This window comes from Homo sapiens, chromosome 3 (genome assembly GCF_000001405.40).
Source record: "Homo sapiens chromosome 3, GRCh38.p14 Primary Assembly".
NCBI classification, from domain to species: Eukaryota; Metazoa; Chordata; class Mammalia; order Primates; family Hominidae; genus Homo; species Homo sapiens.
Window position 1 is genome coordinate 183,625,261 of NC_000003.12, and position 13,610 is coordinate 183,638,870.

Consider the following 13,610-nt stretch of genomic DNA (forward strand, 5'->3'; position numbering starts at 1 on the left):
GTCTGACCAACATGGTGAAACCCCGTCTCTACTAACAATACAAAAATTAGCTGGGCGTGGTGGCACACACCTGTAGTCCCAGCTATTTGGGAGGCTGAGGCAGGAGAATCCCTTGAACCCGGGAGGTGGAGGTTGCAGTGAGCTGAGATTGCGCCACTGCACTCCAGCCTGGGTGACAAGAGCAAGACTCCATCCCAAAACAAAACAAAAAACAAAACAAAACAAAAAAACAAAACAACCCAGTACTTCCAAAATCAAACAGACTTTGGAAATAGTTTAGCCTGACACTCTCTCGGGTGCAAGCAACAGTGCTCCTTTTAGATATGAGGAAACTAGGACCCAAGGGAATTAGGCGATTTGTCCAGGGTATCTGAGTGGCTGAGAAAGTTATGGTGGGGCTCCCCAGAATCCCTCTCTTTTTCTGTGTATCTTGTTCCATTACCCCATGATGTTCTCTGATAAGAAACTTCCTTTGCTAGGATATGTCAATGCAACCTTATGTCCTGTCATAATAGTACTTAACCATTGCATCTTGATGGAATTACACGCACCATTATGTCTTGAGTGAATAATTCTTACTATTTATTGAGAGCTAGGTGCTCTTTTTTAATAAGCTGTCATTTAATTCTTATAATAAGAAGGTATTACCAGATTCTCTTTTCAGACAAAGAAGCCTAGACTCAAAGCAGTTAAATAAACCACCCAACATCACCCTTTTGGTGGTACCAAAGCCTCAGGATCTGAATCCAAATCCAAAGGTATATTCTTTGGTCGTGTTTTTTTTTGTTTTTTTTTTTGTTTTTTTTGGTTTTGAGACAGAGTCTCGCTCTGTTGCCCAGGCTGGAGTGCAATGGCGTGATCTTGGCTCACTGCAACCTCCACCTCCAGGATTCAAGTGATTCTCCTGCCTCAGCCTCCCGAGTAGCTGGGACTACAGACATGCGCCACCACACCTGGCTAATTTTTGTATTTTTAGTAGAGACAGGGTTTCACCATGTTGGCCAGGCTGGTCTCGAACTCCTGACCTCAGGTGATCCACCCACCTGACCCTCCCAAAGTGCTGGGATTACAGGTGTGAGCCGCTGCGCCTGGCCCCAAAGGTAAATTCTTGGCTCTCCATAAAGATACACTGGTGGAGCTGGCCTTGCCAGGAGCTGGTTCTTCGCTAAAGTGTACTCAGCATTCCTTAAAGGTTCTGTCTTTAATATCTTCTTAATTTATTGGGAAAGTATCTTTTCTTCAATTAAAATGGCAAATTTTATGCATCAAGATATTATATTAGAGCTAAAATTCCTAAATTGTATTAATCCGAGACTCTCCCATAGAGTTACTAGGAAAAAAATTTTTACTCTGGGTTTGTTTTTATTTCACGTGACTTTGCAAAGTATTACCATATTATAATACCATATTATAATAACAGATAATGGTAATACTTTGCTAACTCACATCAAACAAAAACAAACCCAGGGTAAAACTTTTATGAGAACTATAAAGCAAAAATCTTTTTGTTTGTTTGTTTTATTTTCCATTAATACGGCAATTTTCACAAGTCTTGCATTATGAAATATCAACTCTGGCATTTGAATTAATAAATAAAAAGCAAGGTGCCCTCCAACTTCTTACTAGTCTTCGGGACAAAGATCACTCGGAGTTCATCCTGAAAAGCATCTAAATTTAGAGATTTGCTGCCGGAGCAAAACTTTCATGTACCAGCAATAGAACCAGTCAGGCTTTCCAAAATATGTCAGGCATGTGCTTGCGATGCTGTCACAAGCGGGGTCAAGAGGCTCTGTCCCTGTGTGCTGGTGACCTGGGAGCCCTCCTTGTTTTCTAGGCCAGTCTCAGAGCACTCTGGGGTTGGAAGCAAAAGAGATTGTGCAATAGTGAATACAGGCGCTTATTTTGATCACGAATCAGGCCAACAAAAATTAAATATTTAAAAAAAATTTGAATACTATATATATGCACATAGTTTTTGGGTTTTTGTGGTTGTTTTTTTTAGTGTGAAAAGCTTACTGAAAGAAATATAGGTTTCCTCAATCCATGACTCCTCATTCCTTGGTTGGCAACCCAGAGGCAATCAAATTTAAGCTCAGTTATTTGGCCTTTGAGTGTAGATATTTTAAGAACAGAGGCGATTGCTTCTCTCCACCTGGTTGACAATCTCTGTTTAGAGGGTAGGATCCTGGATGGGTGTTCAGAGAAGCTGGCTTTGGTTTCTAGGTTTTAAAATCATTTCATTTCTCCAGGGTTGTTTTTCAAATGTATATAATAGAGGTTATATATTCTTTTACTTTTCATTTCTGTCTTTCTTTGCCTCTCTTGTTCTTAAAGCAAAGGACAAATCATAGAGGACATAGAATTGGTGGAGGAGAAGATAACAACAACAATTTTGGTTGTTATTGAGCATTTGTTATAACCCAGGCATGAGATATACTTTTTCTTCTCATTTAATCCTCATAACAATTCTATAAAGTGTTTTTTGTTTTGTTTTGTTTTGTTTTTTGGGGTTTTTTTTTGTTTTTTTAAGACAGAGTCTCACTCTGTCGCCCGGCTAGAGTGCAGTGGTGCAATCTCGGCTCACTGTAACCTCCGCCTCCCGGGTTCAAGTGATTCTCCTGCCTCAGCCTCCTGAGTAGCTGGGACTACAAGTGCCCGCCACCACGCCTGGCTAATTTTTTGTATTTTTAGTAGAGATGGGGTTTCACCATGTTGGCCAGGATGGTCTCGATCTCTTGACCTCGTGATCCACCCGCCTCGGCCTCCAAAGTGCTGAGATTACAGGCGTGAGCCACGGTGCCTGACCTATAAAGTGTTTTTAGCCCATTTTAGAGATGATAAAACTAAGGCTGAGAAAGATTGAGTAATTTACTCAGGGATGTACAGCTACTAGAAGTAAAGTTAAGTTTTGAGCCTAGACTCTTCAACTTTAAAGCTAAACTAGGAACACTGAGATTTTAAGTCTTTAGAGGGAGACAGAGGATATGAGTGTCAAATTGCTGAGTTTATGTAAGAGAGTGAAAAATGGCACCACATAGACTAGGGTAGTCCCTGGACTATCAGTGTGTGGAAACTGCTCTCAGATATGCACTGGAGGTTTTGGGTGGTTGCATTGTTCTGAATGGGTGCTTCAGAGGGAGCCTCTGATGAGCATAGCCCCAGGTGAGATTACTAAATTGATCATTCTTGGGCCAGAGATTGTTGTTTCAGCCTTAACAGATGATTTCTTAAGAAACTGGATGGGGTCTTTCAAGAACAGAAGAGGAGGTCAGCTGCAGATACCCTTGGATAGGTCCAATCCCTTCCCTTCATACCTACTGCAGGATTCCTGGGAGGGCTCCCGAAGCAATCAAGACCACGGGTGGATATGACACACTCTCAGAAACTGCAAGCAGTTGAAGGGAGAGCAGTGCCAGGCGCAGCAAAGAAAAATCAAGTTAAAGTTAGTGCATGCCTCCTAAGTGTCATGGCAGGCAGGGAGCCTTGGAGGCAAGAAACTGGGGATAATCAAAGCCTGCTGGGATTCCAGCAGCAGGAATTCTTTTTTTTTTTTTTTTTTTTTTGATACGGAGTCTCGCTCTGTCACCCAGGCTGGAGTGCAGTGGTATGATCTCGGCTCACTGAAAGCTCCACCTCCCGGGTTCACGCCATTCTCCCGCCTCAGCCTCCCGAGTAGCTGGGACTACAGGCGCCCACCACCACGCCTGGCTAATTGTTTGTATTTTTAATAGAGACGGGGTTTCACCGTGTTAGCCAGGATGGTCTCGATCTCCTGACCTCGTGATCCACCCACCTCAGCCTCCCAAAGTGCTGGGATTACAGGTGTGAGCCACTGCACCCGGCCAGGAATTCTATATGGAGATGAAATCAGATGTCCGTGGGGCAGAATAAAGAGTGTAGCTAGGCCTGGCATCACAATGGAGGAAGCATGCAGGTATGCCTTACCCCTCTGAAGTCAGAACTCGGGGCTCATGGTGATGACCACCACCTTATCTGCATCTAGATAGGTTTGGTCACACACAAAATCATGAGGCCACTGAGGCACCAATCGCCTGGCACCTCATCAACCTGTGAAGGACAGTTTTAGGGACAAACCAAGGATTGCCACTTCCCTCCCCTCCCCATGAGATGGAAAGGCCCACTTCCTTCAGTTGTGAGGAAGGACACCCTGTGGCAGATGGCACCCTTGAGGGAAAAAGCTCAGTGAAGGAGTCAGGGGAGCTCACCTTCCAGGTGGCAGATTTCCTTGTTACCCAGATCTCAACACAGAAAAATTTCCAGCTATGTCTTTCCTTCTTGAAATTTAATGTTGGTATCTCTGATCACAAGCTTTGCCTGGCCTAGTGGGGCCATAAGTGGCTGGGCTGGAGTGGGAGTGAGGTCCCAGAAGGACAATTCAAATTTTTCCTGGAATCTACACAGCTAGGAAGGGTCAAACCTCTTCATCCAATAGGGCTTCAGAAATGCATCACCTGACCTCACCAGAGAAGAAAGGAGGGAGGGGTGGCCCTCAAGACTGAAGAGGCTCTGGTGCCTGCTACACAATACTCCCCTCTCCAGAGTGTTGAGCAACTAGGGTATTGTGTTTGCTTTCCCCTTCACTCAACACTCTGGAGAGGGGAGTATTGTGTAGCAGGCTTGCTGATATGTTAAATATGTTTGAAGGAAAATGGGGTAGGGGTGGGGTGGGCAGGGATAATTTTATTTATGATGTTCTTTGGAGCTCTTGTTTGCAAGGTGATGAGTGTGAAAATATGTATTACAGAAATGGAGATGGGAGGAGGGAGTGTGTTTGGGAAGAAGGTGGCAGAGAACACGGAAAGGGATGAAACCCAAGCGTGAGGTTGGAGAGAGGCCCAGAGAGAGAGTATCAGTGGGAAAAGAGGAGCGCTGAGGTAAGGGAGCAGAGGTGGGGATTGCTACAGAGTTTTGTAGCATGAGATGCCATGTAATTCTCTCTTCATGAAGCCTTCAGTAAAATCTCCATTCACCAATGCTTTTCAACTGGGATTTGTTATGAGAGAGGAGCTCAAAGTGCTGACCTTGTAGCACATCAAAGGACCCTGGGTGAAAATAGTGCGGGTGCCACTTTCTAAAGGACTGGAAGGTGTGCACTGCTTCGTAGCAGGTTGGGGAGAGAGGAGTGAATCAAGAAGACCCCACCAAAGAGATGGCACCCGAGATGGGCCTTAAAGGATGACCAATGTTTCTGCTACAATTGGGGATAGGGGAGACCTTGGCTGGAGGCCAAGAGGGGAGGCAGGGAAGTCTGAAAGTATTGGGGATGCCTAAGAAGTGGTTCAGACCACTGCATGGGGAAGAGGCTGCGGTGGGAGAAATGAGTGGCTGGTGGAACTATGGATGCTTGGCCACCTCCAGATCTTAAGGGCTGTCATGGATGCTATGGAAAGCAAAACAAGGACTACTCTGAGGGGTTTGCAAGAAGACACAATATGGCATGATATACTCTATTCCTGAAAGGAGAGGGAATAGGTCTGAAGACCTTCTGGTTCCCCTGACTCCAACCGTCTACCTCCAGGCAGACTTGGGTTGTAAACATTGCACAAAAAAAATCACCTTATGGCTTCATTTCACTTGATTTCAGCAGATTCCCTCTGGACTTGACAGCTCTGCTTCTGTTCCAGCCCCAGCTGAGGAAAAGGCTGCTACCCAACCACATTAACTGAACTCTGAGGTAGGCATAACCCCAGGGCCCTCCACCAATGCCAAGACCACCCATATTCTGGCTGCCTGAGGAGCCCCCACCCGCTGGATAGGCCCCTGCCTATGTGCCAGGGCTTCCGGTCTCCAAGGCTGCTTGCTTGTAGGTCCTCTTCCTCCCTCTCTCAGAGTTGTTTGATGACCCTGCACTGTCTGAGGACCTCATCGGGTAGGTGAGCCCCAAGTTGATCCCAAAGGGCCTACTGGCACTTTCTCGCTCTCTCAGTTCCCTTTAAGAAGTAGAGATCAGGGCTGGGCGCGGTGGCTTACGCCTGTAATCCCAGCACTTTGGGAGACTGAGGCGGGCAGATCACAAGGTCAGGAGTTCGAGACCAGCCTGGCCAGCATGGTGAAACCCCGTCTCTACTAAAAATACAAAAAATTAGCCGGGCGTGGTTGCAGGCACCTGTAATCCCAGCTACTCGGGAGGCTGAGGCAGGAGAATGGCCTGAATCCGGGAGGCGGAGCTTGCAGTGAGCCGAGATTGTGCTACTGCACTCCAGCCTGGGCGACAGAGCAAGAGCGAGACTCTGTCTCAAAAAAAAAAAAAAAAAAAATTAGCTGGGCATGGTGGTGTGCGCCTGTAATCCCAGCTACTCGGGAGGGTGAGGCAGGAGAATTGCTTGAACCTAGGAGGTAGAAGTTGTAGTAAGCTGAGATCGCACCACTGCACTCTGGCCTGGGTGACAAGAGTAAGACTCCTTCTCAAAAAAAATACAAAAAACAAGTAGAGATCATTCAATCAGTTAACAGACACATATTGAACACCTACTAGGTGCACTGGGATACAAAATGAGTAAGATGATCCCTGACCTCAGAGGATCATCAGTTGGGAAAGGCACATAAATAAAGCTGGACAGCCTGGGCAAGGTGGTTCACACCTGTAATCCCAACACTTTGGAAGGCTGAGGCAGGAGGTTCACTTGAGGCCAGGAGTTTGAGACCAGCCTGGCCAACATAGCAAGACCCCCATCTTTAAAAAAAATTTTTTTAATTAGCTAAGCAAGGTGGCATGCACCTGTAGTTCTAGCTATTCAGGAAGCTGGGAGAGGAGGATCACTTGAGCACAGGGGTTCAAGGTTTCAGTGAGCCAAGATCATGGCACTGCACTCCAGCCTGGGCAACAGAGCAAGAACCTGTCTCCAAAAAATAATAAAATAAAATACAACAAACCTGGACAATTAGTGTAACAACTGCTGGGAAAGAGGTAAAGACAGGCTACTGTGGGAAGATAGAAGGAAGATACTTAGCCCAGGGGGAAATGGGGGGAAAGGAGAGTTCCCAGGAGAGCAATTTCCAAGCTGCCTCCTGAAAGGAGGGGCAGGAGCTAGCCTAGTGAATGGGGTGAAGGGAAGGAGGGGGCATAATACGCAAAGGGAGCAGGCTATGGCCGGGAATGGTCTGGAGACAGAGAGAGCAACAGTCCTCTGGGCAACTGTAGGTAGTCCACTGAGGCTGTGTTCCAGCTGTAGAGGTAGGCCCTAGGGTGCATCAAGAAGGACCTTGTATGTATTGTCAGACAGTTGGGACTTTATGAAGGTAGAGATGACCCACTAGGTGCTTCGTGGCCTCTCTCTCACGCCAAGACCCTCGCCCAGCTTAACGCCATGTACCTCTGCACATCCCCAGACATTCCTGCTCCCTGAGTCCCTTTAAAGTAAAAGTCACAAAGGCACACCTCAACCTGGCTTGAGCCAAAGCACATTCTTATTCTGTCGCTTACATCACCAGATTTTCCCACAAAGAATCCTGAGGTGTTAAGTCAAGATCTTCCTACGACCCTCAAATTCCTATGCAGGAGGACTATAAACTTCTGGCCTATAACACAATGAAGAAATATATGCATAAAAGTAAACAGGTGGAGAACAAGATAAAGTGTGACAACATCAGCAACATCCAAGTCAGCTGTGACTATTCAAAACTGGAAGGATCAAGTTCCAAAGTCCAGGCCGGGCGCAGTGGCTCACACCTGTAATCTCAGCACTTTGGGAGGCCAAGGCGGGCGGATCACCTGAGGTCAGGAGTTCAAGACCAGCCTGACCAATATGGTGAAACCCCGTCTCTATTAAAAATACAAAAACTAGCTGGGCGTGGTGGCAGGCACCTGTAGTCCCAGGTACTCAGGAGGCTGAGACACGAGAATTGCTTGAACCTGGGAGGTGGAAGTTGCAGTGAGCCGAGATCGTGCCACTGCACTCCAGCCTGGGCAACAGAGCAAGACTCCATCTCAAAAATAAAAATAAATTAAAAATAAATAAATAAGTAAATAAAAAGTTCCAGGTCGAGCGCAGTGGCTCAGGCCTGTAATCCCAGCCCTTTGGGAGGCTGAGATGGGCGGATCATGAGGTCAGGAGATCGAGACCATCCTGGCTAACACGGTGAAACCCCGTTTCTACTAAAAATACAAAAAATTAGCCGGGCGTGGTGGCGGGCGCCTGTGGTCCCAGCTGCTCGGGAGGCTGAGGCAGGAGAATGGTGTGAGCCCGGGAGGCGGAGCTTCAGTGAGCCAAGATTGCACCACTGCACTCCAGCCTGGGCGACAGAGTGAGACGTCACACACACACAAAAAAAGTTCCAAAGTCCAGAAATTGTCTTAAATCACAAGGAATAACAAAACTGAAGAAGGCTAATCCGTGAGCCTGGGGTGCTCATAAGGAGCTGCTAAGAGAAGACCACGTGAACCTATTCAGCAGCTACCTCCTGAGGAGCGGGAATTATTAAGCATACATCAACAAATATAAAAAATCAGTGTAAGAACAGCATTGTACTTCTCGACAGCAATACCAGAATCTAGGTGTTAATAAAGCAGTATCTTCGAAATCCCGAATAAATATAATTTATAATCTAGATTGTATGATTAGGCAACATCATCATTCAAAGGTAAAATAGAGTGATGATATTTTTAGACATGAAAAGTTCAAAAATATTTACTTCTCATGGACCTTTTCTTAGGAAGCTATTTAAGAGGAATGTGCTCTACCAAAATATGAGGCAATGCTCGAAATCACAGAAGAAAATGCTAGGATGCTGGAGAAGGGAAGACCCAAGACAGAGAAGCAAGCTTCCCAAACAGTCATTGGAACTGCGGACCAATGACTCTAAGAAAAAAGTACAGATACACACACACACACACACACACACACACACACACACACACATACACACACGATGGATTATCTGATGGGTTTGATTATATGGAGTTGTATTGAAAGCATTTTATCGTTTTAGAAAAACTAAGAGGACATTGTGATAGATCCATAATAAAATAAGCAAAGAAAGAGGATAATTATTAAAACTCCAAGGAAAACCAAAAGCCATACAAGATGGGAAATTGTATACGATTTGTCTCAACAATGAATAATAAATACATGGTCTCATTAGCGTAAACATTAATGATTTAACCAGATTATGAGAAGGATAGCTTCCTTAATAGGAAATAGTCATACATTATTTGGAAATATATAAATACCAGAAGAAATAGCTCAAATAATTGAATAAGAGATGGAAAAGAGGCCTAAAAAGTATGTTTAAAAGGCCTGTATATAGGCCTTCCATATTATTTCCGCCTCTGGTCATCAGAACACAACGCCTAATTTAATAGAGGCATGACGGTATTCATGACATGTAGAAGATAGAGATTTTTAAATTTGGTATCAGAAACCAAAAACTAGTTAAATGGTTGCAATCATCCTTTAAAAGAATACCTGCAGGCGGGGCGCAGTGGCTCATGCCTGTAATCCTAGCACTGTGGGAGGCCAAGGCAGGCGGATCACTTGAGGCCAGAAGTTCGAGACCAGCCTGGCTAACACAGCCTCTACTAAAAATACAAAACATTACCTGGGCGTGGTGGCGGGCACCTGTAGTCTCAGCTACTCGGGAGGCTAAGGCGGGAGAATCGCCTGAACCCGGGAGGCAGAGGTTGCAGTGGGCCGAGATTGCGCCACTGCACTCCACCCTGAGTGGCAGAGCGAAACTCTGTCTCAAAACGAAACAAAACAAAAAGCTTGCAGACACAAAACGACAACACAATGTCCTTTAGGAACTCCATCTACCTTGGAAAACAGGGATTTGTGACAGCTTTGGTCGACGTGCATGTGCGTTTAAAATAAAAAGGTAACCTAGGATTTGATACCAGGGACAGTAACAGCTTTATCAAAAAAAAAGAGGTGGTTTTCCTTGCTCCTTCTAAGGACTGGGGTTTTAGTCTCGTCCACCCTGCAGGCCCTCAGGCCTGATTTCCGATTGTCTATCAAAGGGTCAAATAAAAAGCTCTCTAAGCTTCGACCCAAGCTTTAAAGTCGAAGGGCTGATCGCGGGCTTTTTCCTTGGGACGTGGCAGGGGCCTTTGAGGGAAGGAAAGAAACGACTCTGGCTTCTCACTCGGCTCCTTACACAAGAGGCATTTTTTTAACTGTCTCTGCTTAAAACAAGGTGTTTTTGAGTCAGCAGCCCTTTGGGTGGGTCTCGTCCTCTTGGGCACCCGACACCCACCCCACGGCGGGAGCCCCAGGTGGCCCCGGAGGCCACCGGGAAGCGTGAACTACATCTCCCAGGGTTCCCCGGGGCGGAGGACGCCCACCCGGATTGGCCAGGGTTCGCTGACGCTCAGTGTTTTGGCCCGGACGGTCACATGTTTCCTTTGTTGTGAGCTGCGGCAGAGACTGGTGGCTGGAGGAGACGCCGGCGCTGGAGAGTGCGCTGCGCCGCCCGCCGCTGAGGGACCGCGGGGTTAGCCACTGCTGGCTGCTTCCAGTGTTCGCCGAGAGGTACCGGGGGTGACAGCTCCGGGACCGGCCGAAAGGCGAGGAACCGGTCAGAGTCTGAGTCCTCGGGGGCGGAGGGGCGACGGCGGTCCTGACCACCGGGGTGTCTGCGGGAGGGCAGCCAGCGGCGGCCGGCCTCTCAGAGCCAGACTGGCGGTCTGCGGAGAGGCTGCAGCTGGGCTACAGGGCCCCTTTCTGAGGCGAGGGGCCTCCAGGGTTCACCTGGGGGGTCTTCCTCCCCCGCTTGGTAGCTACAGCCCTGAGGGAGGGCGCGCGCGCCTCCTGGCACTACGGCCCGGAACCGCGGCGCGGCTGGTGCGGCCTGGCTAGGGCGGGGTGGTTGCCGGGACTGGGGGTAGCCGCAGGTGCGGTAGGCTAGTCGCCGCGGGGCCGGGCGCCGCCGGGGGAGGCGGCTGGGCAGACGGGTGCTGCTTGTTGCCGATGGGCTGCGAACGGGGCGCTGCTTTTTATTTCAGGAAGCCCGGGGGAGTGCGACCGCCTCAAATCCAGCCTTCTTGTTTGGTGGGACGACCGTCGGTTCTGTCCGGGAGGAATGACGGGGTCAAGGTGGGGTCCCCAGGGCCGCGGGCCCGTGAAGCCCCATTAAAGCGATTGCGAAATGCACTCGGCACTGTCACCTGACCGTTACCCCCGCCCCCGTCCCCTGCGAGCCTTTGTTTACCACGATCGCGACACCCGGCCCGCTGCGGCCGTCCCCGGGGAGCCGGGGCGGGCGGGGGAGCGGGCGTTCCGCCGGCGCAGTCCCCGCCTAACCTCCCCACCTTCTTACCACTCCAGGACTCAGTTTCTTAATTTAGTTCCTAATGGACCCGCCCTCAAGTTCTGGACACCCCGGGTGAAGACTGTTAACGCGGCGGGGATTGGGCGCCTGCGGCAGCTTGTGGGCGGTACCCGAGGGAGAGTTCGAGTTTTTATTGGCGAGTTTTTATTGTCACTAGGTGGGCCTGCCCTGGGCCATTCTTCCCGCCCCCTTGAAGGTGATCTGGAGGACGCGCGGGAGCGCGCGCTGTCGCTGCTTTTGCAGCTGCGGCCCGAGTGGAGCCGGGTGGCGCGGGTGCGGGAGGCGCGCGCTCCCGCCCCTGCTGCGGGCGGCTGGTAGCCTCGGTGGCCGCCGCCGCCGCTGCTGCTGCCTGATCCTGCAGGCAGTTCTGGGCACGCAGAGATCGGCTACCGTGGCCTGCCCTCCGAGGACCGGAAAATTAACACCCTTTAACTAGTGTCGCGTTATCTGCCGGGTGGTTCGCAGGAAGTCCTGCGAACACGTTGTTGCCAGTTCTGTAAACGTGTTTAGATAGCTAAATATAGATCACAGTGCCACATCTTAGGGGGCCCCACGGTCACCCCTGAGGCAGTGGCTGTTCACAATTGATTTTAGTGGATTTTAATGATTAATCACTTGCTCTTGTGGGCAGCTTTTCAAAAATCACGTCTTTGTATTTGCAGCTACAGACTGGGTCCACCAGCTAAGAGGTTGGTTTTTATTAGGGTTGTAAAATAGATTTAAAATCTGCTTGTTGTTGGCTGAGATTTAAAAGCAGATTTCTACTATTTAAAAAAGATAGTTTGAAGATACTCCCCTAAAAAGTAAAGATTCTTCCATACTCGGCTCGGATGAGTTGTTTTCCTTGTTTGAGGGATTCTAGGTCACACACTTCTATGTTTTAATTCCCGTGGTAATTCAAAATGTTTGAGAAGTGGGTTGCGACTGTGTCGTTTTAAAATTGTACATTAAGCTGACGGTAATAAAATCTTCAAGACCAATCATTTTTAGCCATAGTGTGTTGAAAATGGTTTTTCTAATCGCTTGAGTTAATAGGGTATTTGCGTTTTGTCAGATTTTCTTCTGCAGATATAGGAATTCACTCAAGACTTAATACACTTGTTTTGTTTTTGAGACAGGGTCTCACATTCTGTCACCCAGGCTGGAGTGGAGTGGTCTCACTCCGTCACCCAGGCCATCTCAGCTCACTGCAATCTCCGCCTCCCGAGTTCAATCGATTCTCCTGCCTTAGTTTCCCGAGTAGCTGGGATGACAGGCGCCCGCCACCACGCCCGGCTAGTTTTTGTATGTTTAGTAGGGACGGGGTTTCACCATGTTGGCCAGGCTAGTCTTGAACTCCTGACCTCAGGTGATCCGCCCGCCTCAGCCTCCCAAAGTGCTGGGATTGCAGGCGTGAGCCACCGTGCCTGGCAAAGACAATACATTTTTGTAGAAGGAAGTTTGAGCTCCCCTGGATGAAGCAGGAATTGAATATGAACAGTTCCTATTGGTTATGCATTCTTTAAAATTCCAGAGGAGATGGTTACACCGGAATGAGCATCTCCTGTGATCAGAACCGCCTCATCACTTGTGCATTGAGAGTATTTAATGTATCTAAATGAGTACAAAATGCAATCGTCTAACCTTTTGAAAAAGTAAAACCATCACTCAGTAAAGGCTTGCTTATTCAAACAAAGCCAGCAACCTAAGTCTCTAAACAGGAAGAAGAAATAAATTCTGCGTTAAGGCTGACTACCAGCTTTAACTTAAACTTTCCTGGCTTTTGTCCAAGTTGTTGAACCTTAATGCTTTTTCAATAACTTTTTTTAACTTCCTTTTCTCCCATTTCATTAAAACCCAAAGGTCAAGCCTGTGAAAAATAAATACTATTAATCAAATAAGTGACCACAGTTATTTTTGTCTATTTGACAAAAATTTGGGACACTTTTTTCAATAAATATTTGGGTATGGACTGTATAATGGAAAAATGTAAGTAAATATCTTCACAAGTATACGTATGAAAAATATATTTTTGTATGATTTTATTTCTGGTGTGACTGAAACAACTGGAGAGTATATAGCCACTTGACAACTGTTGACATTTAAAAACCGCTATTGTTTCTCCTATTAAAAACACATTAAGTGCTTGCCTGTCATCCCAGCTACTCCAGAGGCTGAGGCAGGAGAATCTCTTGAGCTCTGGAGTTTGAGAACAGAATGGGCAACATAGTGAGACCCTGTCTCAAAAAATAAACAATAAAACAATCGCTAAGCAAACTTCTTTAAATTGAAGAGTTTGGCACTCTGCCTATATTCATCATCCCAGAGTTAAAGTATTTCAACAT

The 13,610-nt window shown here is 47.5% G+C and overlaps 1 protein-coding gene and 2 long non-coding RNA genes across 30 annotated transcripts in view, besides 5 other annotated features; 2 read left to right on the forward strand and 1 right to left on the reverse strand.

The window, feature by feature from the left end:
* The first annotated feature begins 4,794 nt into the window (after positions 1–4,794).
* LOC105374248 (uncharacterized) lies at positions 4,795–7,725 on the forward strand. Its single transcript, XR_924773.3, has 3 exons — positions 4,795–4,895; positions 5,609–5,695; positions 7,453–7,725. It is a non-coding gene; the product is annotated as an uncharacterized LOC105374248 (long non-coding RNA).
* A 1,177-nt stretch (positions 7,726–8,902) lies between these two features.
* On the reverse strand, positions 8,903–11,349 carry LOC107986162 (uncharacterized). The gene is made up of 2 exons (XR_001741042.2): positions 11,275–11,349; positions 8,903–11,024 (listed from the first exon to the last, which is right to left on the reverse strand). It is a non-coding gene; the product is annotated as an uncharacterized LOC107986162 (long non-coding RNA).
* Positions 10,209–10,268: an enhancer, noted in NCBI's record as "active region_20896". NCBI's record gives its function as "activates an Ori minimal core promoter by ATAC-STARR-seq in GM12878 lymphoblastoid cells {active_cell/tissue: GM12878}" and the evidence as "EXISTENCE:reporter gene assay evidence [ECO:0000049][PMID:35858748]".
* The window catches only part of KLHL24 (kelch like family member 24), a 48,897-nt gene continuing 45,649 nt past the window's right edge, over positions 10,363–13,610 (forward strand). For 7 of the 28 annotated variants that reach the window (NR_146170.1, NR_146169.1, NM_001349428.1 and 4 more), the window contains exon 1: positions 10,363–10,533. The gene's annotated coding sequence lies outside the window, so the exon portion shown is untranslated. Of the gene's footprint in view, positions 10,534–10,960; positions 11,052–13,610 lie in introns of all 28 variants that reach the window. The other 21 variants (XM_047448371.1, XM_047448372.1, NM_001349418.1 and 18 more) reach the window with 4 other exon arrangements.
* Positions 10,689–10,798: a silencer, noted in NCBI's record as "silent region_14943". NCBI's record gives its function as "represses an Ori minimal core promoter by ATAC-STARR-seq in GM12878 lymphoblastoid cells {active_cell/tissue: GM12878}" and the evidence as "EXISTENCE:reporter gene assay evidence [ECO:0000049][PMID:35858748]".
* Positions 10,809–10,878: a silencer, noted in NCBI's record as "silent region_14944". NCBI's record gives its function as "represses an Ori minimal core promoter by ATAC-STARR-seq in GM12878 lymphoblastoid cells {active_cell/tissue: GM12878}" and the evidence as "EXISTENCE:reporter gene assay evidence [ECO:0000049][PMID:35858748]".
* Positions 11,069–11,388: a silencer, noted in NCBI's record as "silent region_14945". NCBI's record gives its function as "represses an Ori minimal core promoter by ATAC-STARR-seq in GM12878 lymphoblastoid cells {active_cell/tissue: GM12878}" and the evidence as "EXISTENCE:reporter gene assay evidence [ECO:0000049][PMID:35858748]".
* Positions 11,439–11,768: a silencer, noted in NCBI's record as "silent region_14946". NCBI's record gives its function as "represses an Ori minimal core promoter by ATAC-STARR-seq in GM12878 lymphoblastoid cells {active_cell/tissue: GM12878}" and the evidence as "EXISTENCE:reporter gene assay evidence [ECO:0000049][PMID:35858748]".